Source organism: Homo sapiens, chromosome X (assembly GCF_000001405.40).
Source record: "Homo sapiens chromosome X, GRCh38.p14 Primary Assembly".
NCBI classification, from domain to species: domain Eukaryota; kingdom Metazoa; phylum Chordata; class Mammalia; order Primates; family Hominidae; genus Homo; species Homo sapiens.
Window position 1 is genome coordinate 46,906,984 of NC_000023.11, and position 27,122 is coordinate 46,934,105.

General features: G+C 41.9%; 1 protein-coding gene across 2 annotated transcripts in view, besides 3 other annotated features; it reads left to right on the forward strand.

The window, feature by feature from the left end:
- Positions 5,211 to 5,505: an enhancer, noted in NCBI's record as "tiled region #4088; K562 Activating DNase matched - State 4:PromP". NCBI's record gives its function as "activates a minimal TATA promoter and a strong SV40 promoter by Sharpr-MPRA in K562 cells {active_cell/tissue: K562}" and the evidence as "EXISTENCE:reporter gene assay evidence [ECO:0000049][PMID:27701403]".
- Positions 5,246 to 5,375: a silencer, noted in NCBI's record as "silent region_20796". NCBI's record gives its function as "represses an Ori minimal core promoter by ATAC-STARR-seq in GM12878 lymphoblastoid cells {active_cell/tissue: GM12878}" and the evidence as "EXISTENCE:reporter gene assay evidence [ECO:0000049][PMID:35858748]".
- JADE3 (jade family PHD finger 3) overlaps positions 5,318 to 27,122 on the forward strand; it is a 148,942-nt gene continuing 127,137 nt past the window's right edge. Inside the window, exon 1 of one of the 2 annotated variants that reach the window (NM_001077445.3) lies at positions 5,318 to 5,357. The gene's annotated coding sequence lies outside the window, so the exon portion shown is untranslated. Of the gene's footprint in view, positions 5,358 to 5,437; positions 5,737 to 27,122 lie in introns of those variants that run through there. The other variant, NM_014735.5, reaches the window with a different exon arrangement.
- Positions 5,816 to 6,225: a silencer, noted in NCBI's record as "silent region_20797". NCBI's record gives its function as "represses an Ori minimal core promoter by ATAC-STARR-seq in GM12878 lymphoblastoid cells {active_cell/tissue: GM12878}" and the evidence as "EXISTENCE:reporter gene assay evidence [ECO:0000049][PMID:35858748]".

Below are 27,122 nucleotides of genomic sequence, written 5' to 3' on the forward strand. Positions count from 1 at the left end.
GACTAAGATAAAAAGAGAGAAGGCATAAGTCACTATAATCACAAATGAGACAGGGGATCTTACTACAGATCCTGCAGGCATTGAAAGGAAAATAGAGAAATTCTATCAAGAACCCTACATATATAAATTCAACGACTTAGATGGAATGGACCAATTCCTTGAAACTACAAACTACCAAAACTCGACCAATATGAAATTTATCATCTGAATAGTCTAATAACTATTTTAAAATAGGATTTATAATGTAAAAATTATTGAAAAAAGAAGGCTCCAGGTCCACATGGTTTCACTGGAATATTTTACCCAACATTTAAAGAACTAACACCGATTTTACACAATAGATTCTATAATACCAAAGAGGAGGGAACACTTCTGTGCTAGGGGTCCCCCAAACCATTCCCAGGCTTGATGATTCACTATGAGGACTCAGAATGCAGCAGACAGTCACATTCATGGTGAGAGCACACAGAACAAAATCTTCAAAGGCAAAAGGCACATGGAAGTATAGAAGAAACGAGGTACAAGCTTCCAAGAGTCCTCTCCCAGTGGAGTCACGCAGGATGTACTAATTCCTCCAGCAACAAGTTGTGACAACACGTGTGAAATGTTGTCTATCAGGGAAGTTCATTAAAAACTCAGCTCCCAGGACATTTACTGGGGGTTGGTCATATAGGCACCCTCTGCCTAGCGCTTACCAAAACTCCAGACTCCTAGAAGGAAAACAAGTGTTCAGCATAAACCATATTGTTTGTACGAACAGTTTAGGCCCAGTGAACAGTCTCATCAGCCCTGGGAATGGTGAGAGCCCTCTTCAAATCTAAGTTCCAAATGCCATCCAAGGACCGACCTTGCATGCAGGGCTTTCAAAGGATAGCACTGAGGCCTTTCACGTTAACTCTTTTCTGCACAGCTTGAGAATCAGGAGACTTGAGTTCTAGTCCCAGCATAAATAACATTTGTACAAACAGCTTAGATATAGTTAGCCATTCTTATCAGTTCTGGGAACAATGAGAGCTCTCCTGAAATCCAAGTTCACAGATGCCTGCCAAGAGCCTGTTATGTTAACTCTTTTCTGCACAACTTCCTCAACTCATTTTATAAGGCCAGTATTACCCTAATACCAAAACCAGACAAGGACTGTAGCAAAAATCTCCCCCAAACTACAGACTTTTATCTCTTATGGGCTTTAACACAAAAATCTGCAACAAAACATTAGCAATATAGAATCCAGCAAGGTATAAAAATAATTATTTTATGGCCAAATGGGGTTTATTCCAGCTATGAAAGGTTGGTTCAAAAATCAATATTCTATCAATGTAATCTACCATATCCACAGGCTAAAGAAGAAAAATCACACGATCATATAACTTGATGCAGAAAAGGCATTTGACAAAATTCAGCATTCACTCATAATAAAAACTCTCAGCAAACTGTGAATAGAGAGGTACTTTCTCAACTCAATAAAGAGCATCTACAAAAAACCTGCAACTATCATATTTAATGGCGAAAGACAATGTTTCCCCTTAAGATAAGGAACAAGGCAAGTATGTCCACTCTCTCCACTCTTATTCAACATTGTACTGAATGTTCTAGCTAGAACAAGACGGCAAGAAAAGGAAATAAAATGCGCACAGATTGGAAAGGAAGAAATAAAACTGTCCCTATTCACAGATAATATGATTGTCTACATAGAAAATCCCAAAGAATCTGCTGAAAAATTCCTAGAACTAGTAAGTGAGTTTAGTAAGGTCAGAGGAAACAAGATCAACACATAAAAATTAATTGCATTTCTATATATTAACAATGACCAATGAATGTGAAGACAAATTAAAAACACAATACCACTTACAATCATGACAAAGAAAATGAAATACTTAGGTATATATTTAACAAAACATGCATAGGTTCTGTATGCTGGAAATTCAAAAATGCTGACGAAAGAAGTCAAGGAAGATCTAAATAAATGGAGAGATAGACATATCGTGTTCATGGATTGGAAAATTCAATATACAATAGTAAAGATGTCAATTCACCTTAAACTGATCTATAGGCTTAACACAATTTCTTTCAAAATCCCAGCAAGGTTTTCGTAGATACAGAATACACTCATTCCAAAATTTATATGGAAAGGCAAATGACCTTGAATGGCTAAAACAATTCTGAGAAAGAACAATAAAGTGGGAGGAAGTGCTCTACCCAATGTTAAGGCTTATTATATAGCTAGAGTAATCAAGACTGGTATTCACAGAGGTATAGGCACATAGATCGATAGAACAGAATAGCGAACCCAGAAACAGCCCCACACAAATAGCCCCACACAAATATGCCCAATCGATTTTTTCAAACGTGCAGAAGCAATTCAGTGGAGGAAAAGTAGTCATTTTATTTGAGCCATCAGACAACCATAGACAAAAATATGAACCTCAACCTTAGGTTTAGATCCTATATAAAAAGTAAATGAATCATGCACTTAAATGTAAAATATAAAACTATAACACTTATAGAAGGAAAGATAAGAGAAAATCTTCAGGACCTGGAGCTAGATGAAGATGTCTTAGCCATGACACAAAAACATGATACATAAATGCAAAAATTGATAAATTGGACATCATCAAAATTTAAAATTTGGTCTGCAAAATCTCTTAAGAGGATGAAAAGACCAGCTACAAACTGGGAAAAATATTTGCAGATCACATATCTGACAGAGGACTTGTATCTAGAATGTAGTATACAGAATTCTCAAAATTTAACAGTAGGAAACAATCTGATTAGAAAATGGGCAAAAGACTTGAACGGACATTTCACCAAAGAGGTTATACAGATGGCAAATAAGCACATGAAAAGATGCTCAACAGCATTAGCCATTAAGGAAATGCAATTTAAAACAACAATGAGGTATCACTACACACCTATTAGAATGGCTAAAAGAAAAAGATAGTGACAATACCAAATGCTGACAAAGATGTGGAGAAACTAGATCTCTTATACATTGCTGGTGGTAATATAAAGTGGTATAGTCTGGAAAAGTTTGGCATTTTCTTGTAACACTAAATATACACTTACCATCTGACCCAGCAATTGCACTCCTGAGCATCTGTCACAGAGAAATGAAAACTTATGTTTACACAAAAACTTCTACATTAATGCTCATAGCAGTTCTATTCTTAATAGGCAGACATTGGAAACAACTCAAATGACCTTCAATGCATGAATAAACAAACTGTAGGACATCCATACTACAGAATACTACTCAGTAATAAAAAGCAACAAATCATTGAGACATGCAACAAACTTGGGTACATCTCAAGAAAATCATGCTGAGTGAAGAAAAGCTGATTTCAAAAGGTATGATTCCATTTATGTAATACTCTTGAAATGACAAATTTATAGAGATGGAGAACGTGTTAGGGGTTGCCAGAAATTAGAGGAGGAGAAAGCGGTGACTGTGACTACAAAGTGTAGCAGGAGGAATCTTTGTGGTGGAGAAAAAGTTGATTGTGGTGATTACACAAATTTAAATGTGTTAAAATTGCACAGAACTATATACACAGACTCAGAAATCAGTGCATGAAAATTGATGAAATCTGGATAAGGTCTGTGGACTGTATTAATGTTAATATCTATATTGTATTATAGTTATCTATTACCATTGGGGGAAACTGGGCAAAGGGTACATGGGACCACTCTGTACATTTTTTTTTACAACTTCTGATGAATCTATAATTATTTTTAAATAAGTATAATAAAGTGAGATAAGTCTGAAGGACTACGAATATTTTAGAACTCACGCATTTCCATATTATGGAATATAACTAGATCTTTAACATGGAAAACAGACAAAATACAAAAGAGCCTACATTATTGTTCATCCTAGAAATGTAAACGAAAATAGCCCAGGACAGTAGCTCATGCCTGTAATCCTAGCACTTTGGGAGGCCCAGGCAGGCAGATAGCTTGAGCTTAGGAATTCAAGACCAGCCTGAGCAACATGGTGAAACTGTCTCTACCAAATAAATAAATAAATAAATAAGTTGGGCCATGGTGGCATGTGCCTGTAGTCCCAGCTACTTGGGAGGCTGAGGTGGGAGAATCACTTCAGCCCCGGAGGTGGAGGTTGAAGGGAGCCAAGAGGTTGCAGTGAGCCAAGAGATCTCACCACTGCATTCTAGCCTGGGTGACAGGGAGCCCAGAGGTTGCAGTGAGCCGAGATCGAGCCACTGCATTCCAGCCTGGCGACAGAGTGAGACCCTGACTCAAAAAAAAAAGGAAAAGAAAAAAGAAAGAGAATGAGTTCATCATAGTTGCATATAGCACATTTCCAAACCCAGAGAGGTAAGCCAAAAAGGTTTGTTGCTTAAACATCTATATTAGGATTCAACCAAAGGATCAGAACCAGTAGGAAATTATATATATATATATATATATACACACACACACATATATATATACACACACACATATATATATACATACACACACACATACATATATATATACACACACACACACATACACCCACGGTGCCCAGCCTGCCAGAAGAATGCGTGGTGGGAATATACGTATATATACTCCCTGTTCATTCATTTCTTCGAAGCTATTGTCTTAGACGATTATGGTGGCCAAGTAAATCCAAAATCTGTAGGGCATACAGTCAGGAAGGGAAGATCAGGAGCAGGCTGGAACCAATGGACATAGGCCAAAGGTGTCATCCATAGGGGAAATTCTCTTTCTCTGACGTACTCAGCACCCTCAGCCCTGATTGAAAGGCTTTCCAACTGATTCCGTCAGGCCCACCTAGATTATCCAGGATTATCTCCCTAACTTTAAGTCAACTGATTAGGAGCTTTAATTACATCAGCAAAATACCTCCAGAGCAACACCTGGATTGGCATTCGATCAAATAACTGTGGGCGATAGCCTAACCAGTGGACACATCGAAAAAGCCACACAACATCACAAACCACCTGTGCTGGCAACTGAATAAATGAATTATGTTAATAGCCACCTTGGCTTTATTATTACAGGTAATTCAAGCACAAGCGACATAAATCAATAGCGGCCACCGAGTTGATGTATGAGAGTCCCACTTTGGAACTTCAGAGTTGGAAGGGGCCATGAAAAGCTTAGTTTGTATTTCAACACAGCCGAGGCATCTGCACCTCGTCCTCTCTAGCGCTCGGCGGGGCTGGGGCGTCTCGGGCAGTGGCGCACCCAGCTGGACGGGAGGGGAGCCCACCTGGAACGCGGCGCCGCGGGTGCGGGAGCGGCGAGTGGGCGGGGCGTCGAGGCGGCGGGTGGCGACGGCGCCCAGCCCGCCAGAAGAACGCGCGGCGGGCAGACGGCTGGGAGCCGCTCCGGTAGGGCGAGCGCGGCCGGCGGTGGGTGGGAGGAGAGGTTGGGGGAGGAAGGAAAGGGAAGAGGCGGAGCGTGGGAGCGCACAGTGTCAGGAATACAATAGTGCTCCGCGCCGCCTCAGCCGCCGCCGCCGCCCAACCGCCTGCCCAGCGCTGAGGCCTGACGGGCCGGGCGGACGAGGGCCGAGGGCGGGAGCTGAGGCGCGGGGGGCGGCCCCGGCGGGGGGCGGGGGCGAGGAGGGGATTAAGGGGCAGGTGCGAGGGAGGGAAGAGAAGAAAGCGAGCGGTTAGGGGGGCGGTTACCACTCCGACCGGACTCACCCGGCACATTGCCGGGCCGCGGCGTGGAGCCGGGCAGGAGCCGCGAGCCAGCTGCGCGAAGGTAGGCGCCGCGGAGGCCGGACCCGGCGCGGGCGAGGTTGGGGGCGTCGCACCGGCTGGGCGGCGGGAGCGGCGGCCTCCGGGAGTGGAAGCGGGCGGCGCGGAGCGCACAGTCCCGGCCCGGCCTCGCCGCGCTCCGGGTCGCTCCGGTTCCACATCGTGGTCGCCTCCGGCGTCCCCGGCGCCTTGGGGCCGAGAGCGTGTGTGGGCTGAGGTAAAGTGCCTGGTGGCCCCTCTGCCCGCCCGGGTAGTGCCTGGTGGCCCGGGCGGGGGGCGGGGGCGGACGCGCGAGCTCGGCTGCAGCTCCCGGCTACACCGGGCAGGAATTGAGCGCCATAACTGTTGCGGCTCTTTCCTCCGGTGCCCCCTCCTGGCGCCCCCTCCTCCGTTCCTGCCCTTTGCCTGGCTTCGGGGCTGACGGGGCCAGACCCGTGGCGGGAGGACCTGCTCTGTCGGCCGCCAGGGGTCGGATGCTCCAGGGAGCGAGGGCGCGCCCTGGCTGTTTAGCTGTTGGGGGGCGGAAAGAACCGAGTGCCTGGAGAGGGGAGAACGGGTGGTGCTGGGTGCGGCGAGGCACCCCGGGAAGCCCGGGTGCCCACCCGGCGGGAGCGGGAGCGCGGGCGCCCGGCGGGCTGGCGAACTTTCCCTCCCACTGGCGGCATTGTTCGAACTGCGGGTCCGTGGCCGCCGAGCGTCGGGCGGTCCGGGGGTGGGAAAATCGTGAGGGCTTTGCTAGTCTTCCGGGGAAATTTTCCCACCGCTGGGCACGGCAAAGTTAACTTTTCTCCAGCTTTCGAGTTCGTTTTATTCCCTCCGCCCCGGGGGCCGTAGTTTGTTTTTTTGTTTTGTTTTGTTTTGTTTTTTGTTTGTTTGTTGTTTTTTTTAATAGCCTTCAATCTTTTTCTCCCGCTTTTCACAGCAGAGCCAGTGCTTCGGTGGAGTCTAGCTTTAAATTGCACAGGGCAGCCTGAGTTTGTTATTTGTGAGGAGGGGGTGGCGGGATCTGGAGTGAGTGACCACAATGGTGGTATGTGGAGGCATGTTTCAAAGTTTTTATCGCTGTGCGGCCCTGGGACATATGTGGCTACTAGGGATTTGGCAAGAAACTTGTTTGGCCGCTTCTCCGACTTTGAGTTGCAAGGAAATCCGTGGCCTCAGATGTGCGCGAGTTGTTTGTGTGTGTGTGCCGTGAGGTGCGTTTATCTATGAAGCTGAGGATGAGATTCCCCCCTCCCGCCGTCTGATTGTGTAAGAAGTCAAAACCGTGTTGAAGGTGATTCCAGTGGTGGCCTGGAGGGAAAGGCGACCTCATTCCCTGTGTTCAGTCTGATAAAGTGAACTGCTGCTCTCTAAACTTGGGAAGTAATGAAAAATAATTTAGGTAAAAACTGGTTGCACAACGTCTTTGCTTAGTTTAAGCAACCCACAATCCACTTTCCCAGACCAGTTCTCCTGTTAAATACTTTCCCTTTAGCCACTTCTTGTCAGCCTAGGCTGGGAGGGGGAAAGAGTAGGGCTGAGAGAGGAGTCGGTCTGAACAAAGCATTGTGTTTTTATTTAGTTTAATACTTCCAAAACATCTGTAGACAATGGGAGTATGGGTCCCGGCCTTCGTACCCTTTGAGTAGTGTGGTTCTCATGCTTTTGTAGCATCATGTGATTACTCTTCGGATACGTAAAAATAGATTTTTTTTCTTTTTTGTTTAACCTAAGAGTATTCTACCTCCATAACATATCATTTTCTCTTTCGTTTAAAGTGAGCTCTGAGCTTAAATACTTGAACTGTAAAAGGATAATACCCTCTCTTCAAGGATTACCTGAGACCGTTGAGAAGTGTTTCAGTGCCCAGCGTGTATTCAACTTTCAATCGATGTTAGCCACCATCTTTGCCACCTTTTCTCCAGTTGTGCTCTTCTTTATGCTTTTGTTTGCTAGAGAATAGCTTTTAACCCAATATTGTTGCCTTGCTTTCTGTCCAGTCAATTCTGGAATACTCAGGGGTGCAAGTCTGGCTCTAGAATTCACACTTTCTCTCTCCCCTCTTCTCTGAGTCATGTTGCTTGCCCTCGGCAATGCGATGTGAATCTGGTCATAGGTAGAAAAAAGTAGAGAAAGGCTTCCCACTCCTCCCTGAAGTGTTGTGACCCACCTTCAGGCCCGTAGGGGAGATTCCCAGGAGCAGGACAGGTGATGGTGCAGGGCTGGCATCATAGCTAAGAAGTATGGATTGGTGAAAGTTAAAGAAGAAAGGGTGTTGAAGACTTGTAGGTTTAGTATTGTCCTCTCCTTTAATAATGCTTGTCTTTTCCCTCTCTTGTGTTCCACCAACCATAACAACCCATTTTTTCCCCTAACCTACACAAAGCCATATCTTCTTTCTGCCCACTGCTTTGAGGTCTGGCTGGAACTAGGCAAGTATTTTGGAAGAGGTGGGGGAGGTAGGAGGCATCAGGTGCTGGTAAAGACATGGCATTAGGGAGGGCTCTTACAAGCCTTGATCAGAGTTACAGAGAGCCAGTCCAAAAATGAAGCTGAGCATTATCAGGGGACATAATGCACCTACCTCCTTGTGGAGCTTACACAAAATAGGAGCTGAGAAGACAGAGGTAATATGCTGTCTTACATTAAGAAAATCTCTCATTGAGGTATGATTTACTATGATCTTGACTTGTCCCACAATATAGGTGAGAAGTGAGTGTTAGGTGACACCTGTCTGGCACTCTCCTAACATGGGGACACTTTAATGGCTCACAAGTTTCTGTTGTTCCAGTTACAGTGGCTGGGAAAGCTGAAACATTCTGGTTTGTATGGTGGGGAGGATCTAGGGTGAATGGGTAAAAGTGATGAACAAATAAACGGGTACTAGCAAGTAAGTGGTCATTACAAACCAAATAACTACCACTTTGAGTTTTCTGATTTCTGGAATCTTTATGACTCCCTCATGGTTATTTTTGCCTTGTTCCTGTAGGTCTTTCCATAGATAATAACAACAAAATTCTTACCATTAGAACTGCCTCTGTGCTTTTCTTGGGAGAAAGTAAAAAAAAAAAAAGGGTCCTGGGAAAAACTTGCCCGATTTCATAGCTAGGCTTGTGAAAAGGAAGGTGATAAGTCAGAAGACAGCCGACTGAATAAAGGACCTGGTGTGAGGAAATAGTACTGGGGCTTTGACCAATAGGAAACACCTATGAGTTCATCAATGCTTTTCAAGCAGCAAATAATTTAATCTTTGCCAAAACCCAGGAACTATGGCTGTGCCCTGCTACCCAAGGAGCTCCTTTTCCCTTGGTATTGGCTGATGGGCAAGGAAACCCAAGCCTAGAATGTGTTTTTTTGTTTTGTTTTGTTTTGTTTTGTTTTGAGACACATGACAAGAATATATGATACCAGCATGGCCAATACACTAGACTTTGTGTGTTGGAATCTTCTGGGACACATTCTTTTTTAAATTTTAAAAACTTATTTTGATAATTACAAACTGTTATAAGAATAGTACAAAGAACTCACTATATTCCCAATTAGTAACGGTTTGCTCTCATTTGCTTTATCACTTGCTCTTTTAGTTCTCTTTCCAAACCATTTGTTAGTAATCACTGAAATTTATTATTTGTTGTTTCTTTCAAGCCATTTGTTAGTAATCACTGAGAGATTGGTACTTATCAAGGGCATCCTGTCCTGAACAGTGGCTCAGTTGCAGCCACTGGGTATAGCAGAACAGTGGTGGTGAGGCAGGGTCCAGAGGTAGAGCAAAGTCTACCTACAGCTGTGAAGCACACAGTTTGTAAACCGTGTAGAATCTCTAGGGCTAGATATAGAAATCATTATCGATTGTAAAAGTGGTTAAGATAAACTCCACTTTTCTCACCATTCTTGTCAAGTTTGTTCTTAACTATGCCAAACTTTAATACTGTTAATGAAAATTCACTCCACTCCCCAACTTTGCAACAATAATATATTCTCCAAGATTTTCATTTAATTCATTCAGCAAACATGTATTAAATACCTTCTGTTTGCTAGGGGTATAAGAGGTGAAAGATACCCCCTTAACAGCTCAACTTCCAGTGGAAAGGAATTAAGTCATCTTCTCACAGTCAGGAGGAAGAGTGCTCTGCTGAAGGGGTTCACAGGGAGTGATGGGAGCACCATCCTGGTTAAGGATCTGAGAAGTAGATCTCTGGGAGTCATTTGGGATGGGTGTAACTATGAAGATCTGTCTTCTCTGAGGCCTGCTCTTAGATGACAAGGTTCATGAGTTAGAGAAGCCTTTGGTGTCATATACCCAGCACAGGCTGTGAGGTCAGGCCAACTTGGATTCAAATCCTAACTCTACCACTTGCTCTTGGCCAGTTATTTAACTTCTCTGTGCCTCAATTTCTTTGTCAAACCATATCTCTGAGGGTGGTAGTGAGAATTGATCAATGCTCTGTAAACATTCATTTCATCTTACTCTACAAAAATGCAATGTATGGGGAAATTGCCTGAAAAGTAATAGGTATTAAGGTGGGATCCAAGCTGGTGGGGGCGGGTGGGGGTGGCTCGGTGTGTTTCTATTTTTTCAACAAATAAATATCTAATTGCACTAAGAGCTATGATGGACATTACCATATAGGATAATAACAATAACAGCAGCAATGATTTCTTAAACATTTCCTGTGTCCCGAGTACTGTGCTAAGTGCTTAACTAACAGAGGATCTCTCTCTCTGAGGTGTGAGACTCAGAAAGGTGAAGCAAAGGTAACTTGCCCAAGGTCACGCAGCAAGTATAAGGTAGAATGTCCCTGTGAGGGAGACCAGCATGGTGCCCTGAGCCTTGAGAATGAGCAGGAATAAGCAAGGTAAGGGTTAGAGAGAAGGGATTGCCAGGCAGGGGTAGCAGCAGGTGTTGTGAGGGCACTGAGGTGGAAGAGAGATGTGGAAAGGATCCACAGAGGTTTGGCTAGGACTTGGGGTAAGAGAGATGAGGTGGGCAGGGAAAGATTGACAGGGCCTTACGGGACCTCATTAAAGAGCTTGTGTTTTATTCCAAGTACAATGAGAGGTGTTTCTTTCTCTCTCTCTCTCTCTCTCTAATGGGAGGTCTGTCTCTCTCTCTCTCTCTCTCTCACTCTCTCTCATCCTCTCTCTCTCTCTCTCTCTCATCCTCTCTCTCTCTCTCTCTCTCTCTCTCATCCTCTCTCTCTCTCATCCTCTCTCATCCTCTCTCATCCAGGGAAGCATATAGTGAGGCCTAAACAAAAATGGTTTAAGAAAGTCATTTCCCCTTCAGTGTCCCACCTTGCAATCCAATAGAGGCAATGTCTCTGGACCAAATGTGTAGGTCTTAAACAGTTTTTATCGACTGCCATTAACATGGCTAAAAAGAGTTTCTATGATGCTGGAAGAAGCTGGTCCTTCAGAATGCTTCTAGAAGGAGGTTTAATTAGGCTCATATAGCTGATGCTTTTTAGGCTGCATTAAGGGAGCTCTTTCAGCTCTCACTGATCCCTGTCACATGGGGAAAAAGTAGAATTGAGAGAAAACATAATTCCTGGAAACCTGAGTTGTTGTTCAGTGTTAGAAATGGAACTATCGAGTATAAGACTTTGGTTTAAATATATCATGATAAAGATACTTCAGTGACTAAATGGAAATTTTTTTATGTTTTTTGTTTTTTGCATGTGTGTGCCATCTGTGATGGCAGACAGCACATTTGTTAGAATCTGGGAAGACTTAAGTATTTTTTCAATACTTATATATTTATATTTATTCTCATCCAGGTACTAGAAGTTTTTCTGTTTGAAACTATTTCTTATCTACAGAGTAAACTTCACAGGAGGAAAACCAGTGTTCTGTTCCCCTTCCCATAAGTACTAGGCCACAAACATATTTACTTTTAAGTAGCCTGTGTCAATTAGCTTTTTGGGGGAGGGTGGTTAGCTGGTGGCTAGATGATCTGGGATAGCCTTACTCACACATCTGGTGGTTGGCAGGCTGGTTGGTCTAGGAGGCCCTAAGCCGGGATGGTTCATCTCCATTCTATGTGGTCTGCCCTCCAGCTGGCTAGTCTGGACTTACTAACATGGTGGTCTTGAAGTCACAGAGTAGCAAGTGAGAGCAAGCACCAGTGCACAAGCACTTTTCAAATGTTTGCTGTGTCACATTTGCTATTGTCCCATAAGCTAAAGCATGGAAGTGCTTCTGTGGCCAAGCCCAGAGTCATTGTGGGTGGTGACCATTCAAAGGTGTGGATACAGGGAGATGTGAAAAAATTGGGGGCCATTACTGCAATAATTCATAATAATTAGCAATGAATGTAAGCTGTTAAGCTTTGATAAATCTTGTTAAACACCCATTTCTGAATGTAGTGTATTCTAGAGACTAAATAATGTGATTGTGCCATTGGTAACACCTCTTCCACCAAGTGTGGAATGGAGTGATGGTTTTTCTGGGAAGAAGCCAAAGGCAGACAGTGTGGTTTTGGACATAGATATTCTTGTGAGTGGCTTAACTGCTTTCTGATCTTGTGTGGCTATTATCAAAGGAGTCTCTAGATTTCCTCAACCTTCCATTCAAGCATTATCACGAAAACCCTAGTGTATTAGACTCTACTAGATTTTGTGGTCAAGCCAAAAGACCGTTATTTGGGAACCACCACCACTTAAGAGATGAAAGAAACATTTGCAGTCTTTCCTTGGAACCTTTATATGATTTATAATTTGTACCTAAGAGAGGAAATCCGTATTTGAGCATTGGTAATAAGGACAAGGGATTCTCTGTAAATGTGTTTTAATTGGTTAAGATTTAAAAATCTTCCTGTGGTTGCAGTGAAAAATCCAGCATTGTACTGTGAAGTGAGTGGCCAGGAATTACCAATTTGGGGCATCAGCCTTTGACCTTTGCTTGTGAAGATCTCAGAAGTAACACTTTCCACATAACTGAAATAGGCTTCACAACAGCTTGTGGCCTGAAATATATTACATGAAAATGCAACTGGACCCCAGGAAGTATGTGTGGGAAACTATACAAGGCTCATTTTGTATGTCTTAGAGATGTACATTCCCCCAGAAAATTGCCTGGTGGTAGAATGTTAGCTTTTCTTCTTTCCTCCTAGGATAAAAATTAAAAATCTCTGACATTTTAAAAGTCAGTGACTTGAAAGAGCAATCAAAATTTATAAACACACACATCATTAGACCCCACAAACACTTCCAGGAATTTATTCAACAAATATTTGCATATTAATTGGAGTATTGCTTGTAGTAGCAAAAGATTGGTAATATCCTAAGGGTCAATCAAGAATATTGAAGACACTGATAGTTTTGGAACACGCATGACCAAGCAGGTAGAGGGTGAGAGGGAGACTTTTCACTACATAAACTTTTACGTATGTGTTTTGAATTTTAAGCAATGTGAATATATTTTCTTATTTTAAAAGTTAAATACATTTTTTAAAGAGATGATATATAGTGATGCAAAATTCCATAGACTCCTATCCGAGTTGACCTGATCAGAGCTATTCCTGTTCAAAAAAAATCTAGCCAGTTTTTCCCCCTAGAAATGCCTCACGATAGTGTACTTCTGAATTTTTAACTATAATTCTGCCTTTTCCAGAATATCACATGAGTGGAATCATGCAATATGTAGCCTTTTTTTGGTCTTGCTTTTAGTGGATTCATCCATATTATGTGAATGAATAGCCTGTTCCTTTTCATTACTGAATACTATTCCATTGTATGGATGTACCACAGTTTGTTCATTCACCTGTCGAAGGACGACTTAGTTGTTACCAGTTTTTTGGTGGTTTTCAATAGAGCTGTGGTAAACATTAGTGTACAGATCTCTGTGTGGACATAAGTTTGCAGTTTATTGGGGTAAATACGTAGGAATGGGATTAGTGGATTTTTCTTTGACAGAAATTACCAAACTATGTTCCAAAGTGGTTCTACCATTTTATATTCTCCTGCCATGAATGTGATTCCACGTATGGATGTCTAGTTGTCCCAGCACCACTTGTTGAAAAGACTACCCTTTCTCCATTGAATTGCCTTTGCATATGTGTCAAAAATCAGTTGACTATCCTTCTGTGGATCTATTTCTGGGCTCTCTGTTGCATTGATCTATATATCTATCATTTCTCCATTAACACACAGTCTTGATTATTATAGCTTTATAATAAGCCTAGAAATCAGGTAATAGAGTACTCTGGCTTTTTAAAATCTTTCTCTCAGGGTATGCTTAAGTTACTTTTTAAAAAAATTTTTTTATAGAAACAGGGTCTCACTGTATTGGCCAGGCTAGTCTCAAACTCTTGGTCTTAAGCAGTCTTCCCACTTTGGCTTCCCAAAGTGCTGAGATTACAGGCATGAGCCACCACGTCTGGCTTTTTTTGCTTTTTAAGAGACAGGGTCTTGCTCTGTCACCTAGGCTAGAGTGCAGTGGCCCCATCATAGCTCACTGCAGCCTTGAACTCCTGGGCTCAAGTGATCCTCCTGCCTCAGCGTCTTGAGTAGATGGGGCTATGGGCACATGCCACTATGCCCACCTATTTTTAAATATTTTTTGTGCAGAGATAAGGTCTTGCTATGTTCCCCGGGCTGGTCTTGAACTCCTGCCTCAAGTGATCCTCCTGCTTTGGCTTCCCAAAGTGTTGGAATTACAGGCGTCAGCCACTGCACCTGGCCTGGCTTTTTTCTTCTTTTTCAGAGTTGTAGTGGTGAGAGAGGACATCCTTAACTTGTTCCAATCTTGGAAAGCATTCCATCTCTCACCATCAAGTATGATGTTGTAGGATTTTTTTTTAATATACTGTGTTGTGCAGAAAAGAGTTAACATAGCAGACCTGAGGCTGCTGTCTTTAGAAGGCCAACGTGCACGATTGGCCCTTAGCTGGTGTTTGGGAAATTGGCTTTTCAAATGTTTAAAAAGAAAAGATTATATTCTACCTTCATTTATTCCTTTTCCAATGCTTTTCATTTCTTTATGGTAATCCAGGTTTCCTACCTTGATCACAGTCTTTCTGCTTAAAGAATCCCCTTTAACCTATCTTTTGAGGGCAGATCTGCTGGCAGTAAATTCTCTGTTTTTGGTTGTCTGAGAAAGTTTTCATTTTCCTTCACTTTTGAAAGGACACTTTTGTGGGTTGACAGTTGTTTTTCCTCTTTCAACATAGTACTCCACCATTGCCTGGCTTACGTGATTTCTGATGAGAAGGCTGCTGTAATCCTTTTTTTTTTTTTTAATACCTTAAGTTCTGGGATACATGTACAGAATGTGCAGGTCTGCCACATAGGTATATATGTGTCATGGTGGCCCGCTGCACCCATCAACCCGTCACCCACTTCAGGCACCTCTCCCAATGCTATCCCTCCCCCAGTCCCCCATCCCCCAACAGACTCCAGTGTGTGATGCTCCCCTCCCTGCGTCGATATGTTCCCATTGTTCGACTCTCCCACCCATGAATGAGAACATGTGGTGTTTGGCTGTCTGTTCCCGCGTTAGTTTGAGGCTGCTTTAATTCTTATCCTTGTTCCTCCATAGTTAATGTGTCTTTTTTCCTCTGACTACTTTGAAGATTTTCTTTTTGTCTTTGGTTTTCAGCAGCTTGAATATGATATGCCTAATTGTGGCTTTTAAAATTTTTTCATTTTTGTCCTGCTTTGTGTTCTCTAAACTTTATTATATCTGTGGTTTGTTGCCTGTCACTAATTTTGGAAAGTTTCTCAGCCATTATTTCTTCAAATAATTCTATCTTGTTCTTTTTTTTTTCTCTTTCTGGGATTCTAATTACAAGTGTGTTATACTGTTTGTTATTGCCCCACAGTTCTTGAGTGCTCTTCAGTATTTTCATTCGTCTCTTTTTAATTTTTATTGACTGATCAATAACCTTGATCTTCAAGCTCACTGAGTCTTTCCTTGGCTATGTCAAGTCTACTGTTCAGCCCATTGTTTTTCTTACTGTTTTTTTTTTAATTTCTAGCATTTCCCTTTGATTCATTCTTACAGTTTCTATCTCTTTGCTGAAATTATCTGTCTGGTCTTGCATATTGTCTATTTTTTACATTAGAGTCTTTAAGATATTAATCATAGTTCTTTTACATTTTTTTCTGATAGTCTCAACATCTGCATTTACTGAGTCTGGATTTAGTAATTCCTTTGTCACTTGGAATGTTTTCTTGCCTTTTGTTACGCCTCCTAAATATGCTGAAAGCTGAACATGGGCAGGAGATGCTTAGGTAAATATTTGATATGTTTGGAGAAGAACATATTTATGGAAATTTGTGTTAATTTGGTCAGGAGTTGGCCTGTGTTTTTTTGTTTTTGTGTTTTTGCTTTTGAGATAAGGTCTCTCTCCGTTACCCAGGCTGGAGTGCAGTGGCATGATCATGGCTCACTGCAGCCTCGACCTCCTGGGCTCAAGCTATCCTCCCATCTCAGGCTCCCAAGTAGCTGGGACTATAGGTGTGCTCCACCATGTCCAGCTAGTTTTTAAGATCTTTTGTAGAGATGGGGTTTCACCATGTTGCCCAGAGTAGGTCTGGAACTCCTGGGTTCAGGTGATCTGCCCGCCTTGACCTCTCAAAGTGCTGGGATTACAAGTGTGAGCCACTGCGCCCAGCAAGAGTTGACCTGTTTGATATTGGGTTTGTTTTGTTTTGCTGTGGGTACCAGAGATTTCTTTTCTCTCTCTCTCTCTCTCTTTTTTTTTTTTTTTTTTTTTTTTTTTTGAGGCAGGGTCTTCCTCTGTCACCCAAACTGGAGTACAGTGACACGATCATGGCTCACTGCAGCCTCAGCCTCTCAACCTTCTGGGCTCAAGCAGTCCTCCAACCTCAGCCTCCTGAGTATCTGGGACCACAAGTGCATGCTACCATGCCCAGCTAATTTTTAAATTTTTTTTTGTAGGGATGGGGTTTCCCTGTGTTGCCCAGTCTGGTCTTGAATTTCTAGGTTCAAGCGATCCTCCTGCCTTGGCTTCCCAAAGTGCTGAGATTACAGGCATGAGCCACTGTGCTCCACCAGGCACCAGAGATTTCTGATTTCTCTAGTGATACATTCATTTTGACTCTTGCTTAGCTTTGGGTTTTTACTTTGTGCTGCTTCCCAAGAGCTAGCTCTAACAGCTCTCCCAGTTGTATTCTATTGTTCTTAACCATGGAGCTGGTTTGCCAGGTTGTGGTTAGTAGGGGAGGAGGGAGTTCTCTGATGATCTGATTAAACCTTACTTAGACAGGTACTAGAGCCTGGGTCTTGAGTGTGTCCTTGGCAAGATTTACTTTTCCTCCTCCTGGACTGGAGCTTCTTTTTCTTTTTCCCATGTTCCTTTACCCTAGCTGCAGTGGGTATCCACCAGTGTTCTCCAACCATGGGTTTCAAGTCCTTCCCCCAAAGACTAAGCCTTTTTTTCTGTATTGGGGATAAAGGGATCTGGGTAGGTTTCACAGTGGGTGCTGTTTTCCTCAGCCAGCTAGCCAGCACCATGGTGGGCGCTTTCTCTGAGATTTTTCCCTGATCTTCCCTGTGAGAGCCTGGTGGAATTCCTGTAGGAAAAGCTTGTAAGAGTGTAGCAACCTCTTACAAGCTTCACACTCTCATGCCAGCTCATACTCTGGTCTCCAGTAATTTGTCAGAACTTCTAGTTTGGTCCTCCTACAAGTTTATATGCTCGGATCCTGTGTCTCCCTGCGGGTATGAGTATTTCCATATATTGGGATTGTGGGACAGTGGTTTGTCCTAGGACCTCAGTTCTGTCATATTGAAGAAAAGTAGTTGCTTTTCAGTTTGTCTAGCATTTTTCTTTTAGTGAGAGTGGAGATGGTAGCATCCCAGTGCTTTATATCCAAGCTGAAACCTGGAAGTTTTAATCTATATAAATGTCTAATGCAATGCATGGTACATAGAAACTCAGTACAGGTTAGTTTTCCTTTATGTTTCTTTTTCTTACTCTCTTGAATTTTATGGTTTTATGACTAGGGAGCCAGGAATAATTGATTCTAGTTTGGTTTCTCCCTGTTTTAGGCTTAAAAATCCTCTATACCACTTAAACATTATACGTTTGTCTTGCTTTCTTCCAAAATTCAATGTATGCCTTTGTAGTTTTTGAATATGTCATTAGCACTCAGTAATTTGCGTCACTGAAAATTAGAGCATGATTTTATCTATTTAGATTGTAGATTTTGTTAGTGACCATGTTTTTGTCATTTTTGTTATCCACATCGCCAGGTGCCATTCGCTTCAGCAGACATTTGTTGAGTGCCCACTGTACTATGAGTGAGGCACTAGGTATTGAGTAGAATACAAACCTGACTAGGTAAGTGGAATAACCAAGGGGTCCCCAAGGGCAGTGGAAACTCCATGGAGGGAAGGATATTGCAACTTGCACAGTATCTCCATTTCAATCTAGAAAGGTTTAATTCTTTTAAGAATTCTATTTTTATACTAATGATACATGAATGCATCCTAGCAAAAAATTGAAAAATTGTAGAAAGAGCCATGGTTGTTCTTGACATCCTCCTCCTATCACATTCTCCTTCCCAGGGTTAATTTTGATTACTATTTCTGTTTGACTGTAGAAATTGCTGTGTGAAATATCATGCCATCTAATAACTTAGTAAATACTTTTATTTTTAAGGGAATAAGCTCTCAAATTTATTTAACTTTTAAGGAATGCTTATTTAAAGAGATGACTATTATCATTCAGTGGGGATGTGTGACCTGATGATAGTTCTTTGTTTCACTTTATAGTATAGCTATTTTAATTGTTAAATCCTACGTTAGTGGTCAGTGGAAATGTTGTAGTAAATGGGAAACACAGAAATTAGTAGTGACCAAAAAGATGACCTATTGGCTGGGCGCAGTGGCTCACGCCTGTCATCCCAGCACTCTGGGAGGCTGAGGCAGGGGGATCATGAGGTCAGGAGATCGAGACCATCCTGGCTAACACAGTGAAACCCGGTCTCTACTAAAAATACAAAAAGAAATTAGCTGGGCGTGGTGGCAGGCGCCTGTAGTCCCAGCTACCTGGGAGGCTGAGGCAGGAGAATGGCGTGAACCCGGGAGGCAGAGCTTGCAGTGAGCCGAGATCACAGTACTGCACTCCAGCCTGGGCAACAGAGCAAGACTCCGTCTAAAAAAAAAAAAAAAAAAGATGACCTATTGACTTTTTTTTTTCTTTTTTGAGAGTCAGGGTCTTACTCCATCACCCAGGCTGGAGTGCACTGGCCCTATCATAGCTGACTGCAGCCTCAAACTCCTGGGCTCAAGTAATCTTCCCACCTCAGCTTCCTGAGTAGCTAGGACTACAGGTGTACACCACCATGCCCAGCTAATTTTATTTTATTTTATTTTATTTTATTTTATTTTATTTTATTTTATTTTATTTTAAGAGATGGGACCTTACTGTGTTGCCCAGGCTGGTCTTGAACTCCTGGGCTCAAGCAATCCTTCTGCCTCAGCTTCCCAAAGTGCTGGGATTGTAGGCCTGAGGCACTACACCTGGCCTATTGACTTAAAAAAATTATACAGTAGGTTGGACTTTTTTGGGGTTATTTATGGTTCTGTGGATTTTTTTTTTAAGACAGGGTGTCACTTTGTTGCCCAAGCTGGAGTGTCACAGTTGTCACTCACTGTAGCTTCGAACTCCTGGGCTCAAGCAATCCTCCTACCTTAGCCTCCTGAGTAGCTAGGCCTACAGGCACGCATTACCACACCTAGCTAATGTTTTAGTTTTTTTGTAGAGACGAGGTCTCACTATGTTGCCCAGGCTAGTCTTGAACTCCTGGGCTCAAGTGATCCTCCCACCTTGGCCTCCCAAAGTGCTGGGATTACAGGCGTGAGCCACCACACCTGACCCCGTTCTGTGGATTTTTAACACATAAATAGATCAGTGCAACCACCACCACAATCCACCACAATCAAGGTGCAGAACAGTTCTATTACCCAAAAAATTCCTTTGTGCTGACTCTTTAGTCATACTCTCTTTCCATCCTAAACTCTGGCAGCCACTGATCTGTGTTCTATCACTACAGTTTTGTTATTTTGAGAGTATCACATAAATGGAGTCAAACTGTAATCTTTTGAGTCTCATTTTCCTCTCTCAGGGTAATGCTTTTGAGATTCATCCAAGTTGTATATATCAATGGTTTGTTCCTTTTTATTGCTGAGTAGTATTCCATTGTCCAAATATACCACAGCTTGTTTAATCATTCACCATTGAAAGGCATTTGAGTTGTTTCCAGTTTTTGTTGATTGAGTAGAGCCGCTATAAAAATTCATGTACATGTGTTTGTGTGCATATAAGTTTGCATTTCTCTAGGATAAATACCTGGGAGTATGATGGCTAGAATTGTACTACCATTCATGGTAAAACTAGTTAGCTAGAGTTTGAATGCTAGGATGGATAGAGTAGCAGAGACCCAAGTTTGAATCCTGCTTTTTCTTTTTACTAGCTCTGCAACCTTGAGTCAGTTTAACCTCTTTGTGCCTCAGTTTCCTCGTTTGTAAAATGAAGTTAACCACTGGTATTGTGTGAAATAAATGACATATTAAGGATAAAATGCTGAGCAATGTATGACATACTGAATATATTATTATCTCATGTTTAATAGAACCCTTTTTGTGAGAAACATTCATCTTTGATGAATTAAAATGGAGAAATTAAGTAATCTATAAGTGTGGCGTGTTTGGTAGGCAAGCCTTCAAAATATGTTGTCCCTGGGGAAAATTTCAGAAGTCCTCAGTGGTGAAAAGGTTTAGGAACATAGATGTATGAGAGTCTTGTATAACATCCAAAGGTTGGACCAGATGCCCAAGTTTGGTGGTTTGACTTGCCCTGTCAACACTGAAGAATCAGATTCACCAAAAATTGAGTACATTGCTATATTTCATGTAAGAAGCTGCAAAAAGTAGCTCAGAATCAGTGAACACTTATTGAGCTCAGGAGATCCACCTGCTTTGGCCTCAGAAAGTGCTGGGATTACAGGTGGGAGCCACCACCTGGCTTAATCTCCCCAGTTTTGAGAAACACATTGAGGTCGGAATTACAGAAATACTCAGCAAGTCTTGCCCTAGAGCACTATACCATTAGAAAATGCAGTGGAGACCCTTTCTTGCATAACTGCCACATAGTATGGTCTGGCTCAGTCTGAGCAGGCACCAAGGGCAGAGAGGATATGTTTTCCCCTGGAGAATTTTCCCGTATCCTATGAGGTGCGCACAGAAGACTACCCATTCACTCACCAGGCAGTGGATGAAATTCAGCATTTGCAATAAGGAACCTAAATGTTCTTTTATTGTCTGTTCATCATTTTGTAATGTTTTCACATGGTACAGTCCATCAACTGTGACAGTTCTTTATCTGGGATTTCAGCAGAACTGGGTGGAACAAAAAGTCTTGAGCACACAATCTTAAGAGATGTCACCTCTGGACTGTTTCTGCACTGCCTTCCCTCTCCCGTACCATCAACAATCCAACACTCATGTTTACCTGCACCTTTCCTCACAGCTGGGAAATCCTTCCCTCTTTGCCCTGCCAATCCTGCCTGGGCCAATTCTTCCAAATTCCTGTAAATTCTATCTCAGCGAGAGATTTTCCACTATCCCCAACTCTATTCTTTTGGATGCCATCCCCTACTACATATTTCCTCATTAAGTCCTGTCTTTTCTATTCACTTTGGCCCTAATGCCATACTTCCTTACTCTGTGACCTATTTGTGTACATGTGACTTGCAGGTATACAGCTAGACAGAGTGATAGAAAACCTTCAGGTTCTCTGCATCTTATCTCCCACAAATACCTGAAGGGGACTTGCTGCCTCTTATTCAATTAACAAACCAAATATCGATTATCATTTTGTGTAAAAAAAAATTACATGTAACATGTTCTTATTTGTGTTTTTTGGTTTTTCTTAAAGACAGGATTTCACTCTGTCACCGAGGCTGGAGTACAGTGGTGCTATCATAGCTCACTGTAACCTTGAACTTCTGGGCTCAAGCAATTGTTCTACCTCAGCTTCCTGAGTAGCTAGGACTACAGGTGCACACCACCATGCCTAGCTAATTAAATGGTGGGTTTTGTTTTGTTTTGTTTTGTTTTGTTTTTTGTAGAGACAGGGTCTCACTATATTGTGCAGGCTGGTCTTAAATTCCTGGCCTCAAGTGATTCTCCTGCCTCAGCCTCCCAAAGTGCTGAGATTACAAATGTGAGCCACCCTCCCCAGCTGCATGTAGCGTGATCTAATGGCTATATACTTCCTGTGGAAAACAATAGTTAGGAAAAGAAATACACATTTTGCAGATTGTCAAAACTGCTGCTTTGCCATGCTACCGTTGTGAAAAGTGTGGCTGTACAGTCTGCCTGGGTAAAGTATGGCTTCAGAGTGTAGATTGCAGACAGCTCTTCCCTGGCTCCAGTTTGGTTTCTAGCCTTCCTCATGATTCCTTGCCCACTTAAACAATGTTAACACCAGGAATTTTGTCTTTTCAAATATAGACAAAACTTTGACTATAAACAGCTGTATCCTACTTGTCTCACATGAAACTTATACAGGAGCGGTGTTTGTGTATGTGTGTGTGATAAGCCTAAATTTAGCTCTCTTTGGAATAACTAACATAAATCCAGAAGAAACTTTTTTCTTTCTTTAGTTGATAGTATGGATTAGAAAATTAACATGCAAGAAGGAGCTTTTTTAGACTTCTAAATAAACTTACTTGAAAGAGCTCCAATTATGCCCCTTAGCCTCTTAAGGATAATCCGTGTAGACACTTGCCTTTAGGGTAATTGTCTCTAGGCTACTTTCTTCCCATAATCTCTGTGTCACCATATTCCAAGTCCGACTCAACTTCCTTCTGGACTGCTGTCCATAAAGATGCAGACTCAAAAGGCTTTTTCACTATACCCTTGTTTCCCACCCTCACCACTAGGCTACCACTGACCTCTGGCTGTGCACTGCACAGTAAGTAGTGTGTGTACCCTCTAGAACCTGACATTCAAGGTCCCCCATACCCAATCATAATCTTTCCCACTACCCTTGACTCCTCTCAAATACTTTTCTCTAGCCACTCTGTCCAAGCATGTATTCACTAGAGTCTAAACATACCATGAGTCATTCTGACCGTCTGCCTCTGCCTGGAGTGTTCTCCATATTGCTCTGAGTTTGTTCCATCCTGTGTGTTCTTCAGGACCCAGTGAAAAGCTCATCTTTTCACTACAGTGGTTTCTTCCACCTCTGAAGCCCCACAGGACTAAATGTGCTCAACACTCATTTACCCAGATGGGATAGTGTGGTAGAGTACTTACTGGCTACAATGTCCTTTCATCTCTGTATGTACACTTAGAGTGTGATTTTGCAGATCCTTGCAACAAGAGGTGGAGTCTGTTTCTCTACTCCTTGAATCTGGGCTGTCCTTGTGACTCACTTTGGTCAGTAAAACATGGCACAGGTAACTCCAGATGACTTATGAGCCTAGGTCTCAAGAAGTGTTGTAGCTTCTTTCTTACTCTCCATTCTGAGGCAACCATGTGAGGAAGCCCCAGCTAACCTGCTGGAGGAAGAGAGATGGTATGGAGAGGGAGAGAGAGATCCAGTCATCAACCAGCCATCAGATATGTGAGTGAAGCCATCTTAGAACATTCAGCCCCAGTCACATTGGCAGATGACTGTAACCATATGAAGGACCACAGAAAAGACCAGCAGAACAACCACCTAGCTGATTCTAGCCGAAATTGCTAATCCACAGAATTGTGAGCTAATAAAATGGTTATTATTTTAAGCTACTAAGTTTTGGGGTGAATTACATAGCAATAAATAACTGAAAGGGCAGGGTTTGTACTGCTATATCCCCAGGGCCTAGAGGGCATGACCATGGCAGGTTTTCAGTAAAAGACTGTTGTGGATTACTGTCATTGTGGTGTCACTCCTCTCTTTGCTTAATAGACAACCAAACTTCCCAGTCCTCTTGGCTCTCACAAAAGTTCAAAGCTTGACTTCAACACATTCTTCCAGAATAACACCTTGAAGTTCTTCTTTGCCCCACTGCACCAGCATCCATCCATTTGCCCCCATCACAGCCCTATGACAGACAGTTCATTACACCCCACCTCAGCTCCATGTTGCGTCCCTCCTACTTACCCTTATTCTCTAACCCTGTGGGGTCAACCCATTGACCACCTCAGTGCCATAAAGCTCTTCTCAACTTCCCAGCCCCCCATCCATACCCTGAACGCGCACTACCTGAATCACATGTGCTTATAATTAGGAGGAACCTTAGAAATTGAGACAGCCCCTTCTAGTTATGAATGAGGAAAGGAAGGCCCAGATAAGAAATAATAATAAATGGCTTATTCAAAGTCACATGGAGGCAATGTCAAAAGTAGAGCCCACATCTCACACAGATGATTACCTAGTGGATTGCCTGTGTTTTCCTGCATCTGGTGCTTGGTTTATGTGTAGGACAATGCCTTTAATGATTAAACTATGGGAATTCTTTGGAGGCAGGCATAATACCTTTTACTTATGCCTTTTCTCATTGCCAGCATATCTCCACTTAAAGACTAACCAGCGACTACTAGACACATCAGTAGTCAATAAATACCTGTTGATTAATTGACATTTTAAAAACAATTATGCCTGGAACTTTTTAATATATTGTTTGTGGTAGTGATTACAATAGTATACATTTGTCAAAACTTTAACTGTACGTTAAAAAGGGTAAATTAGAGTATATGTAAATTTTTTTTTTTTTATTTGAGACAGAGTCTTGCTCTTGTTGCCCAGGCTGGAATGCAATGGCACGATCTCAGCTCACTGCAACCTCTGCCTCCCGGGTTCAAGCGATTCTCCTGCCTCAGCCTCCTGAGTAGCTGGGATTACAGGTGCCCGCCACCATGCCCAGCTAATTTTTTGTATTTTTAGTAGAGACGGGGGTTTCACTATGTTGGCCAGGCTGGTCTTGAACTCCTAACCTCAGGCGATCCACCTGCCTCGGCCTCCCAAAGTGCTGCGATTACAGGCATGAGCCACTACGCCCAGCCTATATAAATTTTTTTAAATTAAAGCGTAATCAAAGCAATTATGCTGAAGAAATCCATTTATTTGATAAATGTGGCTAAATATATAGGTAACATGTTACTATGTGAAAAGAAGTTTGGCCCTTTGAAAATAAACTTGCATATAATAGGCACTCAATGTTAGTTTCCTTCTTCCTTGTATACCAATGCTTCATGATCACCTGTCAAGGCTACTAAAGAAAGCATTCTTGTACTAGAAGATAGCTGGATCTGATCTGACTTCTAAGATTCTATGATTTGTTTAAAAGGTAAATAAATGACTGTTTTGAAATGCCTGTGTAAAGTAAAAATACGTAAGCACTACAACACTGTTCTAAAAGGTGGCCCCCTAGGACCTTAATTTTACTTTCAAAGACTTAGTTACAAAATAACTAGTCCCCTGTTAATAGAAGTTACTTAAAGCAAAAGGATGTCTGAATATCCTTTCAGTGTCGTACTGGAGCATTGGCTGACGGGCCCACCCAAGAATTACTTAGTTCTCTAGGGGATTGCATCTTTGTTTGGCTCACTGTTCACTAATGATTAGAGTCGAGACCTTTTCAAGCAACATGTTAACTTATAGATTTTTGCCTGGTAGAGATGTAAAATTTTCTGTTTGGTAGAAGAAATTATCCTAAAGACTACAGATTAATTTTCCTATAGGGCATAACCACTTTTCTAATTTAGCAATTTTATTCGAGCATTCTTTCAAGGCCTATATATAGCAAGTCTCTCAAATATTCTTTGAATAAGCTTTAAATCCTGTTAGTTCCCTAATAAGTTAAATGTCTTTGACATGTGTTCAGTCTACATTTGTATGAGTCATGTTTTTAATTTTGAAAATTATATTTCGATACCCAAACATTCTACAACATTGCCTGTGGGTCATGACCCATCCTGTACAGAGTCCCTGAAATCCATTACTGACTGTTGGTTTTGATGCTGTGCTAGCACCTTCAAATACCTTTGTGATCATGCTAGTACTTGAAGAGGTCTTCACAGGAATAATTTTGGATACCTCTGCAGGTACTCAAGAACACTGCAGAAAGACTTTCTGGGACTTCTCTCACAAAATGAGAAACTAATGTTCCTTCCTATCATGTTATTGTTCTGTCTATAAGCTGAGAGGATGACATTAAGAGCCTTTGTTTTAGGAGATCCATGGCAAACAGACTCACAGGGTCTTTCTTGTTAAACAATATTTCTATAATCTGGCTTTCCTAGTAATGGCCATAAAATAACTATATCATAGCAATAAAAATTGATAAACTATCAGCTGCCTCAAAAATCTAATAGCTTTGGCAAAATATACTATAGCTCATGTATATCCTCTTTTTCTCTAACAGATTTTAATACTTTTCCTTTTCATACTACTGAACAGCATAATCAAATCAACAAATTCAGCTAATGGCCATTGTGTTGTGGGCACTGTGCTTGGCCCTGCACATCCCCATGTTCCCTCTCCCCTTTGTCAAAAACTAGCTCCACTGGTTGTTAATGTCAATCACTGATTTGCGGTTGTCCAGAATAAAAATGGAGAGCAGAGCCCAAACGGAGGGTGGCAGTCGGCCTTGTCATTACCCAAAGAACTAAAAATGGAGTAATGCAAAAGAGTGGAACTCCTTCACATTAACAAAAGCTTAGTTATATACAGTATAAGACCACTGAATATTAAACACACAAATTTGAAATATGCAGAGAACCAGGAAGAACAGGTTAAAACATGGTTCACTAATTCTGGTATTTATAAGTATTCTGAGTCAGCTTGACAACTTTATTGAAAGAAGCATGAAACATCTTACAATAAAAATTCAAACTCAGAAGTAATCCAGGTGTGATTCCCATTCATACAAAAGGATCAAAGTGCCAACTTCGTATGCAGTATAGGGAATCCTCTGCAGAGGAAGTGTGAACCAAACTTTTAAAATACCAGGGAGGATGAGGTGGAGTGGATTGAGAACAGGAGTGGAAGAAAAAATTTCAACCCACTTTTCCTGGTGATTATTTAAAAACAAAAAATCTACTATTTAATGTTTCACAATAAAGTGTTTTAGAAAAAGTAATTAGCTCGGCCAGCTTCTGCCCCAGGATGTAGAAAGCTGGAAGCAGTGTTGTTCACATCCTTAAAATTAAAAAAAAAAAAATGCTGGGCTAATTTCAAATTCATGACTTTTGTCAAACCCATCAGAGAGAAGTATTTTGCCCAAGTATTAGTTCAGAGAAGTATTTGTTCAAGTGTTTCTTATTTAAGTTGGGTTGTTTCTTACTGTTGTTTTTGAGGTTTTTTCCCTAATAGTCTGGGTAAAAATCCTTTGGTTATTTGATTTATCAGCAAATATTTTTTGTATGTAACTTGGCTTTTCATTG